The sequence below is a fragment of the Homo sapiens genome, chromosome 3, assembly GCF_000001405.40.
Source record: "Homo sapiens chromosome 3, GRCh38.p14 Primary Assembly".
NCBI classification, from domain to species: Eukaryota; Metazoa; Chordata; class Mammalia; order Primates; family Hominidae; genus Homo; species Homo sapiens.
The window spans coordinates 137,159,301-137,168,418 of record NC_000003.12 but is presented as its reverse complement, the minus strand read 5'-3'; positions in this window follow the sequence as shown (position 1 = coordinate 137,168,418).

Genomic DNA, 9,118 nt, shown 5'->3' with positions numbered 1-9,118 from the left:
TGCAGCACACCAGCATGGCACATGTATACATATGTAACTAACCTGCACATTGTGCACATGTACCCTAAAACAAAGTATAATAAAATAAAATAAAATAAAATAAAATAAAAAAGAAAGAAAGAAAGAGAGAGAGAGAAGGAAGGAAAGAAGGAAGGAAGGAAGGAGGGAGGGAAGGGAGGGAGGGAGAAAGAAGACAGAAAGAGAAAGAAAGAAAAGAAAGAAAGAAAGGAAGGAAGGAAGGAAGGAAGGAAGGAAGGAAGGAAGGAAGCAAGCAAGCAAGCAAGCAAGCAAGCAAGAAAGAAAGAAAGAAAGAAAAGAAAAGAAAAGAAAAGAAAGAAAAGAAAGGAAGGGAGGGAGGGAGAGAGGGAGGAAGGGAGGGAGGGAGAGAGGGAGGAAGGGAGGGAGGGAGAGAGGGAGGAAGGGAGGAAAGGAAAGGAGAGGAGAGGAAAGGAAAGGGGAGGAGAAGGGAGGGAAGGAAGGGAAGGAAGGAAGGAGGGAAGGAAGGAAGGGAGGGAAGGAGGGAGGGAGGGAAAGAAAGAAAGAAAAAGAGAGAAAGAAGAAAAGAGAGAGGCAGGCAATTATACATTTACCACAGCAAAAGGAATATAACATGCTCCTGACAAAGTACCCATCTTAGAAGAAATTCCTACAACTGATTTGGGCTACAGAGAAATAACAGAAACATGCAATCAATCATCAAGAACATGAAAATGAAATTTTAAAACAGAATGAGACCAAAAGACCAAAAGAGAAATTATATAGCTATGAAATAACCTGAAGACAAAAGTCACATTACTAATGAACTAATAATGCAATTTTAAACATCAATGAATAATCTAGGCTTGACTGAAGAATAAATAGCTGATTGAGGAAAGACATTGAGATGACTAAAAATGAATCTCGGGGAAAAGATGACTTTTTAAAGCACTTAGATGATGATAAATATAATGGACAAAGGTCATCCAACACAGAAATTATTCCTGAAAAAGAACCCAAATCAGAATAAAAATATACTTGGACATATAACACACACAAAAAAAATCCTTGCTATAAAAAAATAACTAATACCATCTGCCTGTAATCCCAGTTACTTGGGAGGCTGAGGCAGGAGAATTGCTTGAGCCCAGGAGGCGGAGATTGCAGTGAGCCGAGATTGAGCCACTGCACTCCAGCCCGGGTGACAGAGCAAGACTCTGTCTCAAAAAAATAATAAAATAAAATAAAATAATAACTAATACCATCTGCCTGAATATTCCAGAATGGAATTATCAACAAGATATCACCTTCTTGCACTATTGAGACCCAACACTATTAAAAAAAAAAAAGTATTCAGTCATCCAGTACCCTCCAAAAAAGTATAGAATCACCTATAAGAAAATGAATACCAGACATATATAGGTAGCAGACAAACATTCTCAACATGAACGGGCATGGAGAATAAAACATCTAAGAGTTCTTCTTTTAAAACCTAACCAATAATAAATTCAGCCAACCAAAAATGAATAGAGGAGCAATGATAGAAGAAACAGTGCAAAATTCAATACCCAAAATCACTGGAGCAATGCTCACAGAGTCTGATGGGAAAGAAAGCGGGACATCAAATTTTTATACCCAGCCAACTCAATGTGAAGACAACCAACAGAAATTTGGAAGTATACAAGAACCCAGAGAGCAAACTCTCTGAGTGCACCTGGAAAAGAACTTCACAAGGAAATCCAGCAAACTAAAAATGAACCATAATTTTAGAAAATAAAGAATTCAGGAAAGCAGAAGCTGTGGTACAAGGACAGGTAGGGAGCAGCAAATTCACTTAATTACAGACATAAAACTAAACCATCATAATGATAGAATCATAGAACTATAATTGTAGAATATAAATCCCTTATACTGACTTTATAAAAATGTTACTAAAAAACTCAGAAGATGAGGGGAGTGGAAAATAAGGTGAGAGGAAGATTAAAAGTTTTAATTTCCTTATCTTTCATAGCAGAGAGTCAATCAATATGTCTAAAATTAAACATGGATCTTTGAAAAAAAAAACTCCAGCTTTCTTAATTTTTTTATAATCATTTTGTAACCTTAGGGAGAACTTTTAGGATCTAATATCTCTGGTGGTAAAAAAAAAAAAAAAAAAAAAAAAAAAAAAAAATCTGAAGTTCCATAATTTCTTTGATTTCTCTTTGGTTTCTTTTTCTTCTGTTAAATTCAAGAAAAATTCAATTTAATGCTTTTTATTTTTCTAAAAACGTAGAGTAAGACCCAATTTTTACTAATTTATTCTGCATTTTTTATTTCATTTATACACTTAAGGAGCTACCTGGAATGATTTTCACTTGAAGTTATTAGGCTACTTCTTGACTATAGAATTTGAGACAACATTTTTTTCTCTTTTTTTATTTTGCTTACATACTTTCAATCTCGCATATACTACTTATATAAAAACAAATTCATAGAGTTTTAAGTACTGAAATACCAAATTGCAAAAATTTGTCATAAAATTCTCTCATCTGTGTGTGCACGCCCCTTGCAATATGACTGTGCAGCTCTACCATCAATAGGTAGAATCTATTTTCCTATCGCTTGAGCCAGAACTGGCCTTATTACTTGTTCTATCCAATAGAAAGTGGCAGAAATAATACATGATTTCTGAACTTAAGTTTTAAAAGGCCTTGTGGCTTCTTCTCTCGCATTCTTGGAATACTCCCCTGAGATTGCCATATGAAGAAGCCTAGGCTAATTTATTGGAGGAGCGGAGGCCACGTGGAGCAGCGAGGAGCTGTCCAAGCCCCACAGTCCAGACAACCAGCTGACAACCAGCACTAACCAGCACATGTCTTGGTCATCTGGCCCCAGCAAAGCTGCCAGGTAACTGCAGCCACTGAGTGACCCCAGATGAAGTTGGAAGTAAAGCTGCCCAGCTAAGCTGAGTTCAAGATGAAAGACTAAGCACATATATCTGTCTGCCTTTCCTCCCCAAGTCCATTGAACTTACATTAAAGAAATACAAAAGGAAAAAAGTCATAAGAACAAATTCCAATGGCCAAGACTGAGTCACGTGCTCATGTCTAAACCAATCCTGGCAAGGGGAATGAGACCACAACAACTGGCTCATACATAATGACTCATCCTCTAGCTCTGCGAGGAGATCGCCTTCCCTGAGTATAAGGCCTAGCAGATGCTAAGTATCCAAAATACTAGAGGTTTTCAGAAAGGAAAAAATGAGGGTCACTCACTTCTACCAACCAATGTCATGAAAAACATATTCCAGAAAACCCTTTCTCAGCAATATCTGAACACAGAATCAAATATCAAACTGATATTTATGGAGAAAGAAAGAAATACTTGATTATGAATGATTAAATATATGAATGTGCATGTAAGTGGATGAATTAAGGTGGGAGAGTTGAAGAAACACAGATTCTTAGCCTAGAGCAGGGTTCTCAAATTTGAGCATCCATCAGAATCATTTAGAGGACTTATTGAACCACAGGTTGCTGGGACCCACCCCTAGGTGGGGAAAGAGGAGCATTTCTAGCAAGTTTCTAGCTGATGCTGATATTGCTGATTGGAGACCACCCTTTTAGAATCCCTGCTCAGAGAAGAGATGAAGTGAAGATGTGCTATCATGCAAATATCTTAAGAAGTGTTGTGGCCCAGAGAAAGCTGGTTTGTTCAGCATGGCTCCTAAGTAAATTATTTGGAAAGTTACCTGGAGGTAGATTTTTGACTCAACATAAGAACACATTTTCAAATAACTGGAGGTGTTTACCAATGGAATAGGCCAGCCCTTTCCACCCTCTCCTGCCTCTTTTCCTGCCTTCCTTTCATTTTCCTCCTACCCCTGCTCTGCTGTTCCAACAACAAGTTTATAGCCCCGGCTGAGGGCGTAGATCTCACATTTCCACAATCACAAATTTATTTCTCCTGGGAACCAAATGTCAGCAATTTTCTGAATACAACTTTATAAGAGCAGAGAAAGAATCAGTCTCTAAAATGTCCATTTGTCTCATTTTGTGCTGTAATATTATGAGTTTTAACTCATGTGAGCAGAGTGATCTACCTTTGATCATTTCTGTATGTTCATCCCATACTGTTAATATCCAATAAAATACTTATAAAAAAACAAATCCCATTCTAACATGACACTATTTTGTTTCTCTGAGAAATTATGTGGACATCTCTAAAAATGTTGCTTTTGAAGGTGGTACCACACAGGAAATGCTGATAACACAATTTCTTAACACACATCAAGTACATAGGTTACACAAAAGCAGATTCTATTTTAGCTTTTTTGAGAGGCTGTTTAAAAGTTAAGTTCCCCTTAATGAAACAGAAAGGAAAAGGGCTTTGCTTTGCTTTTCTCAGCATCCCAGGTTTTCCCTCTTTGTGGCTTATGATGTTTTCCTTCTTTCTTGTGTTATCTGTGTTTCCTGCTCATCTCAACTTGATGACATGTTGCTGAGACAACTAAATCGCTAACCTTCTTAACTTGGCTTTTGTTATGTGCTTGCGTGTGTTTAGGAGGGATATTTTCATTTCTCTTAGAAGGCTCTGTGTCTGCTCTGGGAGGCTATTAGACCTGGAGGTGGAGAACAAGGGAGGCTTCTTAAGTGCTTCCTATTCAAATCGCCTTTTTACTCCCTTTAAACCCACCATTTGCATGTGGCAGAGCACTGGTGGAAGCTTCCCTGCCTCCTATGGTCAGGATTAATTTACTCAGTGATGTCATGCTTGTTCCAGCTCAGACTCCTCCAGGGGAAAGAAAGGTCTGAGAACAAGAAGCACACAAAGTTTCTACCATTTCAGTTCCTTTATTTTATCTTCCCTCCACTTGCCAAAAGTGGGAGGGGGCGCAGCTTAACTGCAAAATAATTACTCTGTACAGTCCGTTCATCTATTTGATCATCTGATAAAATAATTTTAGGACGTAAGCAAGAACCACGGTGCCCTCAACACTGGCCTGCCACAGCACTGAGCCTGTCTTATGTAACAGCTGCTTGTTTATATGTCTGTGCACTCTCCCTCCACACACCACCCTCTGCTGTGCTTCCCTTGGGTCTAACATTTGTCTTTTCTATTATTTCCACTCTCATGTTTACCATGCCCCTTCACATACTGAGTGCTCAACAGAGAGCTCTTCCGGCTGCAAAGTAAAATCAGACCCTAGAAAGCAACTCCTTAAGACAATCTACATAATTTAAAGGTAGTTTTCAAAGCTAAAGTTTAGCTCTCAACCCAAATTCACCTAACTAAATCTAAATTGAAATGCAGAAAGGATAATGAATTTAGAAACACTTTTAGTCCATCTTCAAAATATCTTATTTGGCTAAATTTTTCACTTTTCCAGCAGATTTTTCCTTTGTTTTTGTTTTTTTTTTAATTTTACAATTGTAATTCAGGTGTCATCTCCATGAGTGTCCCAGATTTCCAGCCTTCTGAAGCTTTCTTTCCCATAACTGGTAGATGTCAGATTCCTGCTAACATCCAAGGACTTACATTCTCAGGGCCACTACGAGCTTCGGTTTCCTCCCCCTGCCAAATTCTCAATCTCTGTCACATAGACACACACCTTCTGTGCTGCATCTCTTATTTAAGCTTCTAGGTGATTTCAGGGTGAAACACAGGCCCTTTATATTTAATTCCCCAAGTAATACACTAGCCAAGACTGGTGTACATAGGAGAGTTACTAAGTTTTGGGCAAGAGGGTCCATTAGGTCATAGCGTATAACACAGGACCTGTCCCACCACAAGCCCTGAGGCAGCTCCTGCCCTCAGTTTCATTCAAGGAACGGCTGAGAAAGAGACAGATTATCTTTTGAACAACTAAATGTGATCTTAAAGCTCCTAGGAAAAGCTTAGCTTTCTAAAAGAGAAAGTAAATTGTGATTTTCAAGATCTAGAGCCTAGAAGAGCTGAACATAATTGGAGAAAGAAAGAGCTCAGAAGGTGACCACTGCCTCACTTTCCAGAGAGAGACAAGGGAAGGAGCACTAGCCTCACGGAGAGGCTCCACATCCAAAAGGTGTTGGTGTGGCCGGGCACAGTGGCTCATGCCTGTAATCCCAGCACTTTGGGAGGCCAAGGCGGGCAGATCACTTGAGGTCAGAAGTTTGAGACCACCCTGGCCAATATGGTGAAACCCCGTCTCTACTAAAAATACAAAAATTAGCCGGGTGTGGTGGCTGGCACCTGTAGTCCCAGCTACCTGGGAGACTGAGGCAGGAGAATTGCTTGAACCTGGGAGGCAGAGATTACAGTGAGCCAAGATTGCACCACTGCACTCCAGCCTGGGTGATAGAGCGAGACTCTGTCTCAAAACAAAAACAAAAACAAAACAAAACAAAAAAAGCCCTTGGTGTGACAGGAGAGCCACGTGAGAAGGCAGGAGCATGGCCTCCGGGGTCCCCTGAGAGGAAGAAGTATGATTCTCAGTGAACAGAGAGTTTAGTTACACACTCACTCCAAAATGTTCCCACTCCAGTAACAAAGATTATATGTCTATTCTTTTTTTAATTGAGATAAAATTCACCATTTTAACCATTTTTATCAGATATTGATCTGCCTCTCTCCCATGTCCGTCTATGGTCCTGGAGAAAATGAGATTTTTGGAGGTTGGGCATGCAAACAACCAAGAGTAACTTTTACTTCTCAATGCCTCCTAGCCCTAGTGAGAGTTGATATATTTCTCAAGTGCCCCTCTCCAATATTTAGGATGATAAAACTTTAGCTTCTCTTATGACAATATCACACCAGAGAATGTATCTCTGGCCTGTCAAACCCTCTTCTATTCACCATATTAGTCAGCTTTACTACAGCATAATGCAGTAACAAACAACCCCTAAATTTAGTGGCTTGTAATAACAAAGATTTCTTTCAACATGTGAGAAATTTCAGTTATGGTGGTAATATTTAGAGCTTAATCAGAAAATATGTGGAAAATGTTCTACTATCTGCCTCGTTCCTTTATTTTTCCTTGTAGATGAGTCTTATTTCAACACTAGATTTTAAGTTCTTTGAAGGCAGAGATTATGCATCATACTCATATTTTTCTCACTTTACCTGGTGTGTGGTTAATTAAATATTTCTTGAAGGAACCAATGAAAAAATGAATCTATTGAAGAACTGTGAATAGGTATGTGAGTTAATAGGCATGAGACTTAACATTAGCTTTCTTGTTAAATGGCAATTAAATGCATTGACATTCATTATAGCCTGAATATATTGAGAATCTAATTGCTCACATGTTGCTCATGTAATCTCCAGTTTTTCAATGACAACTTGATGTCTTTCTGACATACTTATTGTACCTGGATCAATGGCTATTTAACTGCTAATTGATCTTTTATTAACATAATAACTCTTATTAAATCTAAATTAAAGTCTTAATTGAGACACTTTATCTGCAGTGTTTCAACATACAATCCTCATAAAGTAATGGATAATCGACAGAAAAGCTAGTAACATATTATCTGTCACCTTTCTCATTGACCTGAGAACAGATTTTCAGCATGAAGATTTTTTCACTTCATTAAGAAACCTGAGTGTCAACTAAACCCAGGAATGCAACAACACCATGAAATTTTTCAGTTTTCACACAAAGAACTAGTTCCCCAGCTTCTGCTTTCTTCCTCACCCCTCCACTGAGGCCACTTGGCTATCAGTAATAGACAGCAATAAATGAATGCTGTTACTTTAAACATAAGCATGGCCAGCACAGCTACAAAAGAGGCTGCAATAAACCATAAAGACAGCCTTCCTCACCCACCCCAACAACCCTCTCTTGGCTCCCAACTCTCCAGCACTTATGTATCCTTTTCCTCATCTCAACCCATTCACTCCCCATCTGGCCTGGTTTTATTGAGTGTGTCTGCCTCAGTAAAGGGGATGGTCCTGCCCATCGTTCTGCCATTTGGTCTAAAGCTCCCCTTGCCTATTCGTAATTTCCTTTTATTTACTCTTGTCTAATTCATGCACTGATGTTCTCAAACTCTGCTACCTCAGTGCTACTCCAGGCAACTAGCACTTATGAGATACATACTGTCCTAGTCCATTTTGTGTTGCTGCAACAGGATACCTGAGCCTGGGTAATTTATAAATAAAAGAGATTTATTTAGCTCACAGTTCTGGAGGCTAGCAAGTCCAGGATTGGGCACCTGCATCTGACTGACTTCTGGTGAGGGCCTCATGCTGCATCATAACATGGCAGAGAAGTGAAAAGGCAAGCAAACACGTGCAAAAGACAGCAAACACAAGGAGAAACCTCACTTTACAACAACCTGCTCTCAGGGTAACTAATCCAGTCCTGCGAGAACTCACTCCCAGTATTAATCTATTCATGAGGAATGTCTCCCCATGACCAAAACACCTCCCACTGTGCCCCACCTTCCAACACTGCCACACTGAGGATCAAGCTTCAACATGAGTTTCAGTGGGGACAAACCATATCTAAACCATGGCACATATCTAGGGCCAATCCTGAGCTCAGCCATCAGCTCACACCTGTGCTGATCTGGATCCAGACTTGAATTCTGCTTTTCCTATGTGAGTCTCTGGATGATCATCTTGCCCATGGACCCTGTTCATGGTTTTTACGTATTACCTAATTTCTGTTTTCTCAATAATGCCAGCCCTCTCCTGGTGCCTAGGACTTTGCTAGCTGCTCTCAAACATTCCTGGTGCTCACAACATACCTAAATTTCTGAGGGCCACTTGTTTCTGAATCCCACCATAGTTGTAGATACCAGATAGCCTACCCAGCATCCACTCCTCATCCATGCAAACAAAGCATCCTCTGCCAGATAGCTCATATGCCTCAGGGGAAGCAGAGAGCTACTCCAACTCCAGGGATTGGCCTAACTAATCCAGAGGAAATCTCTTCCTCCTTGCTAGTGATTGGTTTAAGAATGAGTCATTGAGGATTGAGGATTGACTTGCTAGGGGCTTCTGGGAAAGTGTTTCCTTGCTCTGCTGGGAGACTATCCAGAAGGGACATTCTCACTTGTCCTCTGGAAATTATCATATCCACGTTATGCCCGGGGCTGGTTAATCACCTCATCGCCAGTCTTAAGATAATGCTGGCATGCAGGAGAAGACAGAATGAAGAAAATCACACAGAAAT